The sequence below is a fragment of the Homo sapiens genome, chromosome 19 (assembly GCF_000001405.40).
Source record: "Homo sapiens chromosome 19, GRCh38.p14 Primary Assembly".
Classification (NCBI taxonomy): Eukaryota; Metazoa; Chordata; class Mammalia; order Primates; family Hominidae; genus Homo; species Homo sapiens.
In genome coordinates, this window is record NC_000019.10 from 30,433,488 (window position 1) to 30,453,313 (window position 19,826).

General features: G+C 48.1%; 1 protein-coding gene across 46 annotated transcripts in view; it reads left to right on the forward strand.

Moving 5' to 3' along the window:
- Positions 1–19,826, forward strand: part of ZNF536 (zinc finger protein 536) — a 487,995-nt gene that overhangs the window by 207,896 nt on the left and 260,273 nt on the right. For all 46 annotated transcript variants that reach the window (XM_047439770.1, XM_011527554.3, XM_047439763.1 and 43 more), the window contains one exon: positions 10,074–12,245. In XM_047439770.1, the coding sequence (XP_047295726.1) occupies positions 10,076–12,245 (2,170 nt within the window). In that variant the 5' untranslated portion in view covers positions 10,074–10,075. The remainder of the gene's footprint in view (positions 1–10,073; positions 12,246–19,826) is intronic.

The following is a 19,826-nucleotide window of genomic DNA, read 5'->3' on the forward strand; positions in this document are numbered from 1 at the left end:
TGTTTGTTTGTTTGTTTGTTTGATTTTGAGACAGAGTTCCGCTCTTGTTGCCCAGGCTGGAGTGCAATGGCGCGATCTCGGTTCACCACAACCTCCGCCTCCTAGGTTCAAGCGATTCTCCTGCTTCAGCCTCCCGAGTAGCTGGGATTACAGGCATGTGCCACCACACCTGGCTAATTTTGTGTTTTTAGTAGAGATGGGGTAACTCCATGTTGGTCAGGCTGGTCTCAGACTCCTGACCTCAGGTGATCTGCCTGCCTTGGCCTCCCAAAGTGCTGGGATTACAGGCGTGAGCCACCATGCCTGGCCAACAGGAGCATTTTTATTAACCACCTTTACATGCCTTGGTCATATCCTTCCCCTCTCAGCATGTCCTCTGCTACCAAATTAAGGGGGCTTCTGGATCTAAAAACTATGCTAACTGCTGCGGTCAGCATCTAAGAAGCATTACTGCACAGGTAGAAAATGCCTCATATTCTCTCCCACAACCCCCTGTGCCCTCTCAAAATCCCTTGAAGTGAATAGGACAGCCTATCAGTCTGTTAGAGCGATAAAGAAACTGAGGCTCTGGCAGGGGACCAAGGTCACACCGATTCTAGTGGGAGAGCAGGCAATTGGATTCATGTCAATGGAACTTCAGGTGTCATTCTCTTTCCATTACTCCAGTCTAGTTGGGGGAATAAGCCACCTGACTCTACAGGAGAATGTGGAATAATGTATCAGCCCTTCTATATATTAAGAAAATAGAAGAGTCTAAAGATAATTTTTAGGGGGTGACCCTCTGCTCTACCAGCCAGTGAGTAACAGACCTGCTACATTTCTCCGTCTGCAGTGCCTGCCATGTCTGCCCCACTTGATTTCACTGCCTGGCCTGTGTCTTTGTGCGTCTTCTGTTCCTTGGCCTCCTCAGAGCTTGCCCATGGCTGTGGCTTCCTTCTTTCCAGGCATTTCCCAAATGACTGAGCTGGGTTCCGACTGTCGTTATCCAGCCCAACAAGAATAAATGTGTTGCAAAAAGCCAGCCTGGCCACTGGCATGTCTTCATGACTTAACTTTCTGAGCCCCTATTTCCTCATCTTTTGTATTGGAATAACATAGCACCAATCATCTAAGATTGTATAAGGCTAACATGAGACAATGACTGTGATGTACCTAGCAGTGTTGGCAGGTGGTATTTTGATGGAGAGGAGGAAGATGATGAAGATGAGGATCCTGTTAATGTACATAGTGATGGTGGTGGCCATGATAGTGATGATGGTGGTGATATTGATGATAATGATGATGATGGTGGTGGTGATGACGACGATGATGATGGTGATGGTGATGATGGTGGTGATGGTGGTGATGGTAATGATAATGATGATGATGGTGATAATGATGATGATGGTGATGGTAGTGATGATGCTGCTGATGATGGTGATGATGCTGATGCTGATGCTGATGATGGTGATGATGGTGATAATGATGATGGTGATGATACTGGTGATGATGATCGTGGTGATGATGGTGATGGTGGTGATGCGGATGCTGGTGATGGTGATGATGATGGTGCTGGTGGTGATGATGATGCTGATGATGGTGATAATGCTGGTGATGATGATGATCATGATGGTGTGATGATGATGGTGATGGTGATGATGATGCTGATGATGATGGTGATTATGATGGTGATGGTGGTGATGCTGATGATGCTGCTGCTGATGATGATGCTGATGATGGTGATGATGATGGTGATGATGGTGATAGTGATGATGATGGTGATAATGGTGGTAATGATGGTGATGATGACGGTGATGATAATGGTGATGGTGGTGATGCTGATGCTGGTGATGGTGGTGATGATGATGGTGATGGTGGTGATGCTGATGCTGGTGATGGTGGTGATGATGATGATGATGGTGTGATGATGATGCTGTTGATGGTGATGATGCTGGTGATGCTGGTGATGATGTTGGTGAAGATGATGGTGATGGTAGTGATACTGCTGCTGCTGCTGATGATGACGATGGTGATGACAGTGATCATTATGGTGATGATGATGGTGATAGTGATGATGATGGTGATAATGGTGGTAATGATGGTGATGGTGATGATGGTGATGATGATGGTGATGATGGTGATGCTCTTGCTGCTGCTGCTGAGGGTTGTTGCTTTTTAATGAGAGGACAGTCCATAGTCTTAACAACTACCCCATGTGAACTTGTCTTCTTTCCATCCCCAGCAGCTACTTGCCTGGCTTTGTGTGGTATAGGCAGAAGGTGACCCAGGGATCCAGACCAGAAGTCTTCTCTACTCAGAGAAGATGACAGGAGAACCCCTTTGTTGCCATTTTTCTTTTCCATCTGATGTTGTTGTGCTCATTATCTGTCTTCATTTCTGGGCTGCAGTTTTAGCAGAGACTCCAAAAGCCACAGTGATGGAAGCTCTTTGCCTTTGAGAATTTTTTTTTCACCAAACCCAAACCAAAAATGGTCACGTCTTTGAGAATTTTGAAGTCATCCAAAGTTTCCAGGGAGAAGACATTCAAATTCTTTTCCCAAATTCTCCAACTCTTGTCCTACCAGCATGGAAGCTGCCTGGGGCTCCATGGGACCACATATTAAGCCAGCCCAGCCAAATCCTGCTCACTACTCAAGTCAGTGAGGGCCTTGACTTTGGCCAATGTTCCATCCCCAAGGGGACACTTGGGAATTTGACTACAGTCTGCAACTTGACTCTGTTGGTTACACAGTTGTCATTCTCCACAGCCTGATTTGAATGTGGTATTTTTGTTCATAAATTCAGCAAGGATTTAACTATTTCTGGCCCCATCTCATGGCACTGTCTACACATCAGTCAAAATGGAACAGGTCACCCGCGCTGCCCTCCTGTTCATCTATTAATCATCTGGCAAATAAACCACTCAGTATCCTGCCCACCCCAGTAATGTTTGTGATGTAATTTGTTTGGATGCCCAAATGTCACCAGTGTTGATTGTAAGAGATCAAAAAAAAAAAATGCACTTGCTCAGCATAGCAAGCTCTAGGCCAAAATGTAAGCATGAAATCTCTGGTTTATTTTTGTAATAATGTTTACAGCTGTTTAATGACCCTGAAAAGGTTCAGTAGTCTGATGTTCTGTATTTCAGAACAGGAGTGTATTATGCTTATAACAACCTTAGTTAAACAGTTTGAGCTACAACAATTGGAAAAATAGTATTTAATACGAAGCCATTGTATTCTAGGTGAAATTGTCTTAATTACTGTTTACTGTCAGCATAAGAAAGCAAGGTGGGCTTCAGGGACAGACTGAGGGTCACGTGAGCCTCCAGGAATGGGGTCTGCCTGTTACTAGAAGTGCATGTTATGAGAAGATTTTGAGTAAAATCCACAATGGTGTTTGGAAACCCCCTTGCTGTGAACCCGAGTCCTAGACCCTGCAGAGTAACTTGGAGGTCAGGGACTCCTACAAGGCTTCCGAGGTAGCAGTTTCACCCACGTCGATGAAAAAGGGAATATATTTAGTTGTGCTTGGCTAGACAACAATACTTGATTTTTTAAAATCCAGTGCAAATGGTTATTTTGAAAGCATTTTATTTTCCAATGATTCTTTTTCGTGGTATAAGGAAAAAGCTCTTTCATACAACTTACTGGCAAGATCTATATTTTTTTGGACTATTCATAAGATTACTTTTTTTTTTCTGTGCTAGCAAAATGAAACTGTGTTTTTGTGTAAAATTTATTTAGACTCGTAGCAGCTGGCATCTCTGGTGTCCTGATAGTTTTAAATTTCATTTTGAGTGAAAGATACAATTAGGTTCTCTATTGGAAGAGTTAAGTGAAAACTTTTGTCATTGATATCACAGGAAATAGTCTTGAAGGCAGAAATGCAAAATCAAAATAACCATTAGCACCATCAAAGGCAGCTGAATGGCTCACGGTACCTGCAATGATGGCAGTGATGAGACAGAATGTATTTTGATAATCTGTGCACCCAATGGTGGGTTTCATTTGCTGAGTGTGAAATTGCATTGTTCAAGAAGAAAACCTGTAATGTTTGGAAGCCTTCACCCGGGGCCCCTGCCTGTGTTTAGAGGTGCAGCACAGGGGTTTCCACACTGTCGTGAAGAATCCTGTGGCCACCGAGAGCCTAGCTTAGTTCTTCATCAATACTGACTGTGGAGTTGAGTCCCCAAGGTGCCCCACCATGACCCTGTGCTCAGAAAAGGTCAGGACTGGGGGGGAATGTTGCCATGTTTCTACATTGGGGGGATGATGCTGCAAACTCAAGAGTTTACAGTGGCCTTTAACTGTCCAGCCTCGGTAAGGACATCTGGCTGCCTTTGCAGAGTTAGGTAAATTATGCATTCATTTGTTCCTTCCATCAATCAGCCAGGGTTTATTGATCCTCTTCCTTATAGGTTTCAGGCTGGGGCAATGAACTGAAGGCCAGGGGCAAGCTGTTCTCACTGTTTAGTAGTTTGTTTGCTTGCTTTTAATTGTGCTAAGGGTTTTTCTGCCCAGGTGAGCTGGTTCGATGAGTTCTTGCAGAGGTTATTCAAAGTCCTGACTGCCCAGTTGCCTTAAGCCCAGGATCATGGCCTGCCCTCTGCTGGCCCCTGGCTTCCTTTTTTAAAATTTTAGACTCGGGGGTACATGTGTATGTTTGTTAAGTTACATGGGTATATTGCATAATGCTGGGGATTGGGCTTATAGTGCACCCATCAACCAAATAGCAAACATTGTACCCTATAGGTAATTTTATCAACCCTCCCTCCCCTCTCTCCCTCCCCACTTTTGGAGTCCCCAGGGTCTATTATCTCCATCTTTATGTCCGTGTATACCCATTATTGAGATTAGCTCAACATGGATTAAAGACTTAAACATAAGATGTGAAATTATAAAAAAAAATCCTAGAAACACCTAGAAAAACCTCTTCTGGACATCAGTCCAGGTGAATAATTTGTGACTCCAGCTCCTGGGTCACGCAGTGCTGAGTGAAGGGTCAGTGGGGCGTGTAGGCTAAAGTGCTCTGGCAGCAGGGTTGGGGGTGGGCTGTGGCAGGAGGCCCCTCCAGGGATATTCCCTATGGGGCCTGTAAGGGAGCAGCATGGTCTGAAAGGGAAGGCTCACTCCCTGGTGGGCTGGGAAAAGGGATAATAAGACCTTCCAGCAGGTCTTTTATTTGAAATTTTAAAAAATTATCTTTTAAATTATTTTTGTTTTTTGAGACAAGGTCTCATTCCCATCGCCCAGGCTGAAGTGCAGTGGTACGGATCATAGCTCACTGCAGCCTCGACTTCCCAAGGCTCAAGTGATCCTCCCACCTCAGCCTCCCATGTAGTTGGGACTACAGGCACGCATCACCATGCCTGGCTAATTATTTTATATTTTTAGTAGAGATGGGGCTTTGCCATGTTGCTTAGGGTGATCTCAAACTCCTGGGGCTCAGCCTCCCAAAGTGCTGGGATTACAGGTGTGAGCCGCTGCGTCTGGTCCCTTCCAACAGGTCTTATCGTTTGCAGGCAGCTCCACTTCCTCCAGCCCCATGAGCTCTTATGTCTGCAGCTGGATTCAATCCTTTAACAGTAGGATAAATGATGCCTTAGTTTCCCAGTGTAGGCATTTGTATACATTTCTAGAGGGCTATCAGGTAGGGACTCCCCACCCTTCCCTCAACACAGACATAATTATTGCACACACACGCACACACACACACACCCTTAGACACCAAAGCTGCGATGGTTTATCTTTTCCCCAGCTTTGCATTCAGCCTCGAAGGGACCTTTCATTGCTCCCTGTTACTTGTGGACACTCACTCACGCTGGCCCCTTAGATGAACAGGCCCTCGAGGGCAGGTACATGGAAGGTCCCTGGCAAATATTGACTGAATGGCTAAGGTAAGGAATAAACGCATTCTGGATGGGTGAAGTGTCAAGGCTGGAGAAATTGGGGCCGACCCAGGTTTTGTGAGTCCCAGGCCGGGCCTGGGGCCAGCTTGTCCTGCCTCGGCTGTTTTGGCGCAGAGACAGCACACCAATTACCCCATACTCTTTCCAGGAACTCGTGCTTCCCTTTCTTGCTCTAAGTCGAGCAGCAGGCATCAGTTATGACTGCCCCATTGCAGCGGCCTCGGCTGCACCTGCTCGAGGAATCACAGAGGATTCTAAGCTGACTGTCGTGGTCCTTTCTCCCAGTAAGGCTCTGTGCAGGCTTCTCCCAGGCTTATTCAAGGGCTGGGGACCAGTATCCTGGAAGCATCTCCTAGGGAGCTGGTCAGCTCCTCTGAAACCCTGGGGTCTCCCATGGGCAGTGACGGTCAGTTAAGTTCTAAAGGGAACCATTGCTGTGTCTCCTAGTATTCAGCAACTGGGCCATCAGGGGTGGTCCAAGCCTGGGGTGATAACCATGGACACCTAGACTGTGAGAGTTAGGGGTGTGGACAGCTTTTCCTTTCCTTTTGTTTCTTTCTTTCTTTTCTTTTTCTTTCTTTCTTTTTTTTTTTTTTTTTTTTTGACAGAGTCTCGCTCTGTTGCCCAGGCTGGAGTGCAATGGCATGATCTCAGCTCACTGGAACCTCCACTTCCCGGGTTCCAGTGATTCTCCTGCCTCAGCCTCCCGAGTAGCTGGGATTACAGGCACCCATCGCCACACCCAGCTAATTTTTGTATTTTTAGTAGAGACGAAGTTTCAACATGTTGTTCAGGCTGATCGCGAACTCCTGACTTCAAGTGATCCGCCCACCTCAGTCTCCCAAAGTGCTGGGATTACAGGCATAAGCCACCATGGCCGGCCAGAGGTGGCTTTCTCTTGGTGGTTTCTGAACCTTCAGCTTCTCAGTGGTAGCCAGGGACCCTTCCAACTCTGTCCGATTCGGATCGTAGGTGCTCATGGACTTGTGCGAAGGCTGAGGTTAGGTCACATGACTGATTTTAAGGGCTCTGGACTTGTGCAAAGGCCGAGGTTAGGCCACATCAAGTTGAGGTTAGAGTGAGTCTCTATTCACTCATTCATCCATTCACTTAGGACACACTGAACCTAAGATAAGCCAGCTCTGCCTTAGGACCCAAGGCTTCATCCTTGACCAAGACAGACATATCCTCTGCCTTCACGGGAATGAAGTATGTCTGTAAAAGGACCAATGACAAAATGTTGCCCCCATGGCAAATGCTATGTAGAAGAAAGTAACATGTTGGGACAGAGAGGGGCTGGGGTGTCAGCCTCAGACAGGGTGGGCACAGAGGGCTTTTGTGAGAAAGGATGTGTGAGCTCAGACCCACAAGAATAAGAACAGAGCCAACTATGAAAGAGCCGGGGCAGCATGCATGTTCTAGAACATTCTATCCTCAGCTGAGGATCTAGCAAAGGCATTTAAAGACCTTAAAGAGATTACAAATCTTTGTTAACTCTGGCCAGGATAGATAGATAGATAGATAGATAGATAGATAGATAGATAGATAGATAGATAGATAGATTTGAAAAAAATAAAAGAATTCCATACTCAAACCAAATCTGAAAACTCTCACATTCCTTATTTGACGAGTTGAGCTGTCACTTGCATAGCATGAATGGTGGTGGTGTTGGGGGACATGGTCTTCAACTCCATGCCCCTCATCCAAGCTGATTTGCAGTCTCGCCGCATTGCACATTCAGCCTTCTTTCCCTCCTGCTGAATTGGCGTCAGCTCATCAGCAGCAACCTGAAAATAGCCCGTCTTCCTGGATTCATGTCTTCTGAGCTGGCCAACTGGGCAGCCTTTGGAAGTGGGCCAGCCCTGTTGGCCTTGGACTTTCCAAACTTCCATGGAGCTGTTGGGTGGAATTCTGAGCAATCCTGTGTGGCTTCAGGGTCATGATCCCTGTTGGCTCAGAAGAGGAGCCAGTGCAGCTGTATGGGGCTTGAAGGTGGAGAGAGGGTGCCAGACAGGGCCCTGGGGCCACCAGTCTCTGCCTGGAGCCTCCAGCAACCTCTGTACACTGTGCCTGCTCCTCCCTGCTGGATAGTGGGTGTCATGAGTCCTGGGGCTGGTGGGTCTTGTCCACCATCATGTCTCCAGTGGCAAGGCTAGGGACTGGCACATGGAAGGATCTCGGTAAGTCTGTTGAATGAATGCAGCAACCTCCATGGGATATTAGCTTTTTTCTGACCAACCTCCAAAATGGGCCCGCGTATTTTAAAAAAATTTGAGTGTAGACTGCCCCCAGAAGCAAAAAGGAAAGATGACAAGCTGGAAGCCTTCTCCTATGGCAAGTGCCCATGCACCTTTACGCTTTGCACAGTTGTGCATATCTTTCATTCGTGGACAAAGTTGGCCCAGCACCACCACTGTAATCCCTCTGCCTCCTGGAAGTAAACATTCATGGCTCTTTCTTCCCTTCCCTTGCAAGATAGACTCCTCCTGCCAAGGAAGTCAGGTCTCCCATTGGAGACCCTCCATGCCACGCAGTCTCCTGGCGGGAGGCCCAGCAAGCAGCAGACCCTGCCGAGGCTGCCTGTGCTTCCTCCACAGTTGAGCTCTGTCCCCATAGGTCTCCCTGGTTAATCACTTAGCCCAGAAATCAGTCCCGGCTGGGGTTAAGCGCAGCTCCTGGACCACCTGGCTGCCCAACACATCTAAACAATGGGATGCAAGAGGAGAGGTGTGTGCAAAGATGATTCCAATGGCAGGAAACAAATTTGGACTCCTTCAGGTGGGAGACATAGCTGGAAATAGAAGGATCCCAGGCAGGGGTTCATTGCCTTGCAAAGCTGAGCTCCCCACGTGCTCCAATGTGGAAGGGGCTGTTTCCTCTGCCCTCCCTGGAGCCATCTGGCTTTAGCCATTCTGCACAGGCTGAAGAGGGGGCAGAGAGGACTATTAAAGACAATTATGCAGACCAGCTTTGAACGATAGTGTTTAACAAACAACTTTGAGTTCTAATTTTCTGCAAAACACATACTGCAGGTACAATTTGTACTCATTATTGTATATTGGGAAAGTTATTAAAAACACTCAAACTTGGTTGAGACTTCCTATGGCATCATTCCTGGATTTTAATGGGTTTTTATCTAGTTCTATAAAAGACCTCTTTAAACCCAATCAAAGTCCCTGCTTTGGATATCTTGCCATTGAAGGATGGGAAGAGCCCCATTATAAGGTATCGGTGTTTCCTTTGACCCAAATTTGAACAACTTCAACAATCTGCTAAGATTCCGTCAGGAGATAATTTATACTTCTTTTGATGGGCACAGTTACCAAATGATAAAATAACAGTGTTTCGTAACATAAGGGTTAAATCTTAATCTCTGAGGTTTGCAAAGCCGCTACTCGCAGTCTCCTTAAAATTTAATATACCTCGTTAATGCTTCCTTGCAAACACTGAAGGATTTTTATGATTATAATCATGTGTTACAGCACCTAGTACTGTTTCTAAGCAGCATACTAATCAGCTTAATGAGATATTACTGCACTTTTTGTTGACTAAAGCAAAATCCCTTTTATTATTCTAAAGCCTGTCCTTTACTTTATTTTTTCCCAAAACATTATCTTGTTTTATTATGTACCAGTAAATATCATGCCATTGAGTGTTTTTTGTTTGTTTTTTTTTTTTTTTTGGCCAAATCATAAAATGATCTCTTTCATCTCAGACTGGTGAATGTACTGAATATAGTAAACGGAAACAGAAGTTCCAAGTGGGTTTATTTGGTCTTACAGGGAAAGTCATTCTGCTCTCAGGCAAACTTTGGACGGAACCAACAGGTACAGGTGCGACAATGGGGCAACGGAGAAAAAGTTTCACACGTAGACCCTTGATTTGTTATTAGGTGTTGAAAGTGGTAAAACATTAATAATTTAAAGGTGAATGAATAATTGCAGTCTGTAAATAGAAAATACAAGGAAGACGATCTGTCGCCAAAACAAATTGGAGGAGCAATGCCATATTGCATAATTGGCATTTAATAATTCATTTTTTTATTATTGTTTTTGACAAGAATTCCTTAGCATGATTATGTGTAGGTAAGGCATGAAATGGAAATTCCCTGCCCGCCAATGCTGTTGATTCATGGCGCCACAGCCGCACCTGGCACGGATCTGAACTCTGCCTCTCTTTTCAGGGATGGAAGAAGCGAGCCTGTGCCTTGGAGTGTCTTCGGCGGAGCCGGAAGCTGAGCCCCACCTGAGTGGCCCCGTCCTCAACGGCCAGTATGCCATGAGTCAGAAGCTGCACCAGATCACCTCCCAGCTCAGCCATGCCTTCCCCGAGCTCCATCCCCGGCCCAACCCCGAGGAGAAGCCCCCCGCATCCCTGGAGGAGAAGGCCCACGTGCCCATGAGCGGCCAGCCCATGGGCAGTCAGATGGCGCTCCTGGCCAACCAGCTGGGCCGGGAGGTGGACACCAGCCTCAACGGGAGGGTGGACTTGCAGCAGTTCCTCAACGGGCAGAACCTGGGCATCATGTCCCAGATGAGCGACATCGAGGACGACGCCCGCAAGAACCGCAAGTACCCGTGCCCACTCTGCGGCAAGCGCTTCCGCTTCAACAGCATCCTCTCCCTGCACATGCGCACGCACACGGGCGAGAAGCCCTTCAAGTGCCCGTACTGCGACCACAGGGCGGCGCAGAAGGGGAACCTCAAGATTCACCTGCGGACCCACAAGCTGGGCAACCTGGGCAAGGGGCGTGGGCGTGTGCGCGAGGAGAACCGCCTGCTGCACGAGCTGGAGGAGCGCGCCATCCTGCGGGACAAGCAGCTGAAAGGCAGCCTGCTGCAGCCCCGGCCGGACCTGAAGCCCCCGCCGCACGCCCAGCAGGCCCCGCTGGCCGCCTGCACCCTGGCCCTGCAGGCTAACCACAGCGTTCCCGACGTGGCCCACCCGGTGCCCTCGCCCAAGCCTGCCAGCGTGCAGGAGGACGCGGTGGCCCCGGCGGCGGGCTTCCGCTGTACCTTCTGCAAGGGCAAGTTCAAGAAGCGCGAGGAGCTGGACCGCCACATCCGCATCTTGCACAAGCCCTACAAGTGCACGTTGTGCGACTTCGCGGCTTCGCAGGAGGAGGAGCTCATCAGCCACGTGGAGAAGGCACACATCACGGCCGAGTCGGCCCAGGGCCAGGGCCCCAACGGCGGTGGCGAGCAGTCGGCCAACGAGTTCCGCTGCGAGGTGTGCGGTCAGGTGTTCAGCCAGGCGTGGTTCCTCAAGGGTCACATGCGCAAGCACAAAGACTCCTTTGAGCACTGCTGCCAGATCTGCGGCCGGCGCTTCAAGGAGCCCTGGTTCCTCAAGAACCACATGAAGGTCCACCTCAACAAGCTGTCGGTGAAGAACAAGTCCCCCAGCGACCCCGAGGTGCCTGTGCCCATGGGCGGCATGTCCCAGGAGGCCCACGCCAACCTGTACTCCAGGTACCTCTCCTGCCTGCAGAGTGGCTTCATGACCCCGGACAAAGCCGGCCTGAGCGAGCCCAGCCAGCTCTATGGCAAGGGCGAGCTGCCCATGAAGGAGAAGGAAGCGCTGGGGAAGCTGCTGTCTCCCATCTCCAGCATGGCCCACGGCGTCCCGGAGGGGGACAAGCACTCCCTCCTGGGATGCCTCAATCTCGTGCCGCCGCTGAAATCCAGCTGCATCGAGCGGCTGCAGGCGGCTGCCAAGGCTGCGGAGATGGACCCCGTGAACAGCTACCAGGCTTGGCAGCTCATGGCCAGGGGCATGGCCATGGAACATGGCTTCTTGTCTAAAGAGCATCCGCTGCAGCGCAACCACGAAGACACTTTGGCAAACGCCGGGGTTCTGTTTGATAAGGAGAAGCGGGAGTACGTGTTAGTGGGAGCAGATGGCTCCAAGCAGAAAATGCCTGCTGATTTGGTTCACAGCACTAAAGTGGGCAGCCAGAGAGACCTGCCAAGTAAGCTCGACCCTTTAGAAAGCAGTCGGGATTTTTTGTCACACGGGCTGAACCAGACTCTCGAGTATAACCTGCAGGGTCCTGGGAACATGAAGGAGAAGCCCACCGAGTGCCCCGACTGCGGCCGGGTGTTCCGCACTTACCACCAGGTGGTCGTGCACTCCCGTGTCCACAAGCGGGACCGCAAGGGCGAGGAGGATGGGCTGCACGTGGGCCTGGATGAGCGGCGTGGCTCGGGCAGTGACCAGGAGTCCCAGTCGGTGAGCCGCTCCACCACGCCGGGCTCCTCTAACGTCACCGAGGAGAGCGGGGTCGGAGGCGGCCTCTCCCAGACCGGGAGTGCCCAGGAGGACAGCCCGCACCCCTCCTCGCCATCCTCCTCAGGTAGGTTAGCTGAGAAGCGGGGAGAAGCAGCTTGTACAGCAGCCCTGCTCAGGGCTGCCTGGTTCTGCTCCCAGGCCTCCAGTCAGTTCCAAGGCCAGTGGGTCTTGATTGAGGACAGGGGTGGGTTGGACACTGGGCCATGCCTTTCTTTCCCCCCCTGACTGGAGGGAAAGGGCCGTCCTTTCACCTCTTAGGCCTTCCCTTGAACACTGGCTACCAAGAAAGTAAGTTGAGGCCGGGTGTGGTGGCTCACGCCTGTAATCCCAGCACTTTGGGCGCCCGAGGCCGGTGGATCACTTGAGGCCAGGGATTCGAGGCCAGCCTGGCCAACATGGAGAAACCCCATCTCTACTAAAAATCCAAAAATTTAGGCAAATGTGGTGATGCATGCCTGTAATCCTAGCTATTCGGGAGGCTAAGGCAGGAGAATCGCTTGAGCCCGGGAGGGGGAGGCTGCAGTGAGCCAAGATCACACCACTGCACTCCAGCCTGAGCGACAGAGTGAGACACTGTCTCAAAAAAAAAAAAAAAAAAAAAAAAAAGAAAGAAAGAAAGAAAGAAAAAAGAAAGTTGTGCGGGAGATGGCCAGGTGGTACATTTTTCAGTGGGCATAATCTACCTTTTTCTTGCAATTGTCCAACCCCATTTCACCGCCTGACGCTGTCGGCCATCATCTGGTCTCTGGAACTCAGGAGCTGGCATTCTGCTCTATCCCTGGGTATGAATGTGTAAGTTCCAAACTTCACCATCTTTCTCTCCCCCTTAGCGTATTCCCATAATTCTCTCATGCAGGCACCGCAGTCTCCCTCCCCAAGCCAAACCTATCTTCTGGCCCCTTCCAAAATTACAACGTGGCTCACCTGCCAGATCCGTGTGACCTAAAGAGCCCCACCACTTTCCTCTGATGGTTTGGAAAAGTACAGGCATTTGAAACACAGACGCATGACTGTTCTGTCTTAAATTGTACTGTGTTACACGGCTGATACAGCTTTGGGGTCTAAAATAGCAAAGCAGAAAATCTGTCATCAAAATGTCTGTGAAATTATGAAGCTTCCTGGCCCAGTTTAAAAAAAAAACCAAAACAACAACAACAACAACAACAACAACAAAACACGCTAGCCTCAGACGGCTAAATTAAAATCACCACCTAACAGCAGGTAAGGCGTTGCCTTCATCCATATTTCCAAAGCCCCTTACTAATGGATAGTAAATTGAAAGTTATCTCTAGCCCTTTATAAAGAAAGCACCTCGCTAATACTGTAATCATTCTGCAGCCTAACAACAGAGGAAATCATGCCATAACAAATACCCTGTTACTAATGGCAACATTGATTTCTGCAATCAGCCATTAAGTCTAGAAAATGAAAGACAGTTTGAGGCACCTCGAGGCACTGCCTTGCCCACTGTTAAAGACGTAGCAGCACCCTGTTGAGGGTCATTTTTTAAAAGTTTTTTCTTCTTTCTTGATCCCCCCCACCCTCACTCTTTGGTTTAGATACCTATTTCGATCTTGGAGGCAATTCACTGCTGCACTTATTAAGTAGATGCCAGTTTTAGCTTTGCTGTTATAGTCTTGCTTAAGCATACTCTTCTTCTAGGACAAAATTAGTATTAAAATAAAGTGGGACTCTGCCGGCTTATTACAAACCAGTAAAGAATTGTTAAGACACATAAATCTGGTCTGCACATTCCAGAGATTCCGATAGCACTTAATGCCGCTGCTTAAATACCCATGAAACACACTGTCTACTCCTGGAGTCCTAGACTTGTTTGGGATTTATTACGGATGAGACACTTAGGAAGTGTCTAACCAGCAGCATGAGTGCCAAGGAGGCGTGAGGTCACACTACCTGGAGCGACTGTCACATGGAACATACTAAGATTCGAGGGAAGGGTTTTCACCATGTAAAGATAGATCCCTACTTGAGAGGCAGCCAAGTGCCAGGTGTCCCAATGTCAGGAGGAGCTCTTTCTGGCCTCCTAGGATGAGGTCTGCTCTTCTGGCATGTGTCGTTTCTGATTCTGGATTAGGACCTTTACAGGACAGGGTGCAGACAGCAAACTGGTTCCCCTAAGTTTTTAGAGTGACATGGAGTTAACATTGACAGATTTCCATCCCTCTCTCAGACCTCCTGAAATGTAAGGGTCTCGGCAGAATATTCTGACACCAAATGTTCAGCTTCATTAATGACGTGTTTACCGTGTTTTTCTCACCTTCTGGCCAAGTGATAGCCTCATGCTATTCCTATCTCTGTTGCTTGCCTATCTCTCAGTGCTTGGTTGAAAAAACCCATTTTGCTTAAAAAGAACCAACCGTGCTCATGACTCAAAAGAGAATTATACTTGAGTTGTGGTTATCTTCTCACTTTTATTTCCCCTCATTGAAGTATTTTACAATTGTGAATACTGATTCTTTCATTTCTGGTTGACTTCTTTGTTTTCTTCATATTCAAATTAGACCCTTTCATAATTTTCTGACTAAGTAGGAGAATTGAGGGCATACCAATATACAACCCGAATCAGCTGTGCGTCTGGGGCATTCAGGTTTCCCTGGGATTTAGGACTCTTAACCAAATCTGGTTAGTCCTCCCTCTTATTTCCAACAAGTTTGACTTGTATAGAAGTGCGATTAAAATAAGCATTTAAATAAAAATCTGGATACAATGGGTATTTTATTATTACCTGTTAAAGAGAAACCTGCAAGGTGAAGGAGAGAGAGAGAAAAAATCTTTAAGCCCTTAAGTAAAGAAAGAAGTACTTATTAAGGCTTCTATTAAGAAATAACTGCAAAACACGGTTTTACAAATTTCTCAGACTGCATAACAATGTCGCAAAACTTAATTTGCATCACTTGATTCTTTTTTTTGTTGAAAACTGGGTCAGTAGGGCCTGAGAAACTATTTTTTCAGATCTTAACCAATGAATTCTTCTTTATAAATCGCTGCTCTTAACATGATAGTAGTTCTGAATTCATCATAAAAAACCTTTTTACAGAGCCTCTTAGAACAGATCTCTAGAAGAAGGCTTACAATGAGTGGCAGAGACGTCCTTTGTTATCTGATGTAATTCTTTGCAAAGAAGGATTGGGAACGGAGTGGCTGTTTAAAAATGTCTTGCTCAGACCGAGATGAAGAAGGGGTCAAGTTTGCAATCAAACAGTTATTGCCGAGATGGGCGACTGTCACTGGCTAGGCTAATGTGGGATGCAGCTGTTTGTTATGTGAGCAAAAGAATGTTTGAATCAGTGAACATGTGAAAATGATTCCAGTGAACCAGAAAATGTGTTTGTTCTTTGGCTCTCCAAACTGCTGAGAACCAAGCTTAAGATCAACTGCGAAAACTAGGACCTCTGACAAATTGAGAGGTCATATTTTCTAACAGAAAATGGACAAAACTAGTCACACAGATCACTTCCCCATCTTCCCCCTTTGTTTTATTTTTGTTTTGTTGTTGTTTATTTGACTTACCAGTAATTTCACACCGTGGTCAATGTCATTCAATGTAGCCTCCGTGTACAATGCAAAGAGAAACTGTTTGGAAAGCAGCAGCTTATTAATTTTACTTTTATGGCATTTAGAAAGCGGGGTGGCTGTTTCGATGCCTCCTCATTTCTGGCTTGCATGCAAACACTCTTATGGCATTAATCTTTGCATCTTTCTCTAAAACCTCCTCTAGGGCTGAGCTCGAATCCTCGCTTTGCTCTGAGTCAGAACACAACCAAAGTTCTGTTTCTTCAGATTTTGCTTTGGAAATCACACTCAGAATAATTAAAACTTAATGTACTAAGAAATGATACTGTTCATTATATCCAACAGGGCAGTTACCTTCTGAATTCCACATAATTTTGGAGTGGGGATAATTGAAGTGTTGATGGTGGGAAGGGGGTAATTGAATGCATTGACCCTCTGTTCATTAAATAAAGTCGGCTAAGTTACAGGATCAATGGAAAGCCAGGGAGAGATGCGAAGATGAAAATATCGTTAACCCCTACTACTTCTGGTATAATATTTTGAGATGGACAAGGATTATTTGGTCAGCTGGGCTAAAAGCCTTGCGAGGTCTTCTTTTGTTGTTAGAGCTGCATTCCTGAAATGCTGGGTCTCCATCCCATTGACCACAGCATCAAAGGCCTTTATCTGGGGCGCTTTCGCATTTACATGGGGTGTATAGTGATATGATAGATTTTCTTTCTTTTCCACCTCTTTTTCTCATGTGGCTCCCCCTCCCTGCCCCCGTTCACGATAACCGGTGCCTGCTCCACACACAAACAAATCCAGGCACCCAAAAGAAGAAAAAGAAAAAGAAAAAGAAAAAAAATTTGAGTTTGAGGATTAAGATCTTCATTTTTTTTTTTTTTTTTGCTTGTGCATTCCAATTGTTCTTAAAATATTTGGCAATGTCAATTAGTAACTGAGCAGAGTTAGCTGATGAACACAATTTTCCAGTAGACTGAGCACCCTATTGTTGCCGAGCGAACAGCAGATTTCTGAGGTCATTATCATTCGCTGGTTGCTTGGCCCAGCTGCTTCCTGCTGCAAAAGCCAAACTTTATACCGGAGCTCGGGGAGGCTGCAGCAACAGGGGGCTGGAGGGGGGGAGAGGGGAGCTGGCTGCAGAGCCGAAGACAGTCATTATCAGCAGAGGAAACAGAAAGTAAAAGTTTCCAGGCAATTCCAGGAAAACTGCCGGAGCAGGCTTCTTCCTCCTGTTCCAGTCCAACCACCTTCCACCTCTAGGCAGGGAATTAAAAAGGACTTGGGGAGACCCCCCTGGGCATGGTGGCAGCTAATCTCTTTGTGGAGGAGAACTTTGGAAAACAATAATCCCATTTATAAATAATGCTTAAAAATTTTTTTAGCCCAGGCTCAAGCATGTGAGTGATGCCCTCTTAGATAGCCTCCTTCATTGTTATATATTTAAAAAATCATTTTAAAAATGATATTAGGAACTTGAAATTAGTCAATTTGGGGATGACAAATAGGCAACATTATTTAATTTTCCAGAGGGACCTTATGAACAGATCATAGTCTGAGATTCCTTTTAAAATCACATTTAGCCTTAAAGGTTCCCCCTACGCCTCCCCCTGTCCCCTGCTTCCTTATTTTTCTGCCCCCAGCCCACCCCAACTCCAGCCTTCCTTCCCCACCTCCTAATTTGGGAACTGGTTCAGTGAGATGAAAAGCTGCACTTTTTTTAAAGCTCAGCTGTGAAAGCCGAGCGCCATATGCAGCCCTTCGGTCTCTGCCGTGGAAGCGTGTGCAGGCGGCCGCCGTGTTTGCGGAGATTTACGGAGGATCGGCTCGTGTGTGCCGAAGCTGTGCCCAGGCGGACGCCGGCCAAGGCCCGTCCCCTGAGCTGAGAGCCGAGAGCTGAGGTGGCCGCCCGCCTAGGCGAATAAGCCGGCTGGTCAGGTGGCTCCTGGGGAATGTCAGATGGGGCACAGGGTCAGAGGCCCCCGTGTCTTCCCCTGGCGGCCACCTTTCCGCTGGGGCCCAAGGGTGGTCTGTCCACTTGGGACGCCCTGCTCGTGCCGGGATCGCCGTTGCTCTCAGATGCTGGTTCATGTGCGGCTGTCACATCATCCTCCTCCTTCCCCGGAGCCGGATGCCTACCAGCAGTTTCTTTTTATAAACTTCCCATTCACTTGGTAGACTTGTATCATCTCGTGCTTAGGAGCGATGATTTGGGAACAATCAGTAACACTTCGGGGCTTTTACCATCTTTCTGACCCCTTTACATGGAGCCATAAATCCCGCTTCTCCGGGGCTGCTTGATGCCAGTCCACCGTCACTTGGCATTTCAGAAAGAGGGTACTTGCACAGGCTCTGAAAGTCTTCAGACTAGGAGTGTAACATCAGAGATGTGTGGCATAAAATTGCAGAGGCAGAGCACCCTCTCTGCTCCAGCACTTAACAGGCAGGACATGGTTTTGCTTGTGAGGGATTAGATTCGAGGCCGCGGAGTCACTCAAATGTGTTTCTCTGGCGGCCTCACTTGGCCCATCTGTGGGATGGACACCGCTGTTGCCTGGGCTGCCCTTCTGTTTCCAACACTCCTGCCCACGGAGCTTCTGAGGAGCTCCATGAAGCTCTCCTCCCTATGCATGTTAGCGCAAGGGACGGAACAGTTCATTTAAACCTAAATTTAATGGAAATAAGGAAAACATAGATTAGCTAAGGACAGGTTACAATGAGGCAAGGAATTAAGCGGTCAATTTTCAAAACAGAGCTTGAAGCATTAGCTGCGTGATTTCCATTGACTCGAATGGGAGGTTCCAGGCTCAGGTCTTGACCACCACCTTGGGTGTGTTGGGGTGGGAGTTAGTAATTTGCTTTGCAGACAGCCACAAGGTGTCCCTTGATTGATGGTTTGGCCAGAAGCAGGTATCACGAGCTTCCAGGATCTGACTCTTACCCACTCCCATGCTTACCATGCACTCAGGTAGCTGGGAAATGATGCCCACTGTGTTATGTGAGCCCTGCCAGGGGCCACTTCTGCAGAGCTGGGGCAGCCTCTGCATAGAGGGCAGATTGGGGTCCTTCTGGCCGCCCAGATCCCTTCACTGCCAGGTTGCTTATCTTTCTAATTCTTTCTCTGGTTTGAAGCTTTGTGTCCTGTTCATAGGAAGTGCGTTCCCAGGAAGGGTAAGGTAAGACTTTCTTCCTCTACATCTCAGTGCATTTCCCACGTCTGCCCCTTCTCCCTGAGAAGTTTCTGGCAGGTAGCCCTGATGTCTCAAAGGGGTGGGGACAGGGCTGGCTTCAACAAGGCCTGTTATACTGGCCTCGATATTCCACTGGTTCTAGAGAGAGACCGTGGGTATACTTGGAGACCTAGAGATGGAGACAGTGAATTTCATGGGAAAGAACTGTGCAGGGAGCATTTGGAAGCCTTTTGAGCCTGGGAAGTCAGGGGAGTGAGTAGTTAACTCCTTTACCCGTAGAGCTGTTTTGGAGCATTGATGGCAGGGGTGGAGAAACACCTGCAGAGATCAGGAGATTGGATTTGTGCACACTTCCCAAATCCGTGATGATTGGACTGGAACCTTTGCCATCTGTGACCCTTGGGCCTGTTTGCTGCCCTTCTGGGTGTCTCACCTCCCTTCGTCTTCCTCTCCTCTGTCGGCATCTGATGGGTGCATCTCTCCACCCTTGTTGATGGTGCTGGCATGTGGAGGAAGGAGGCGGGGGCTGAGCGAGGCTTGCAAATGCAGAGGAAAGGGGCTCTCCAAGAGGGGTGCATGGTGTCGGGGGGGTGGGCAGGTGGTGGGGGGACTCTGATCTCCCCAGGAAGTGAGCTTTGCTGCAGCTGAGAGCGGCCATGGGTCCCCCTTGTCTTTTGCTGGCAGGATGGGGCGATGGCAACATTTACTTAAGCTGTGGAGTCTGGCACTGCCGCAGCCAGGCGCCATCTGGAAAGCCCTTTTCAGAAAGCTGTGTCCCCCCCACCCCCAAAAGGAACTTAGGGGAACAGGACTTGGGCAGAGCTGTGGGACTTGTTTCTTGGGCAGAACCTGCTCACTGAGGCACCTGAGCCGGGCTGGGTTTCCCTGGGAGCCAGGTAGATAAGACAGGTCTACCT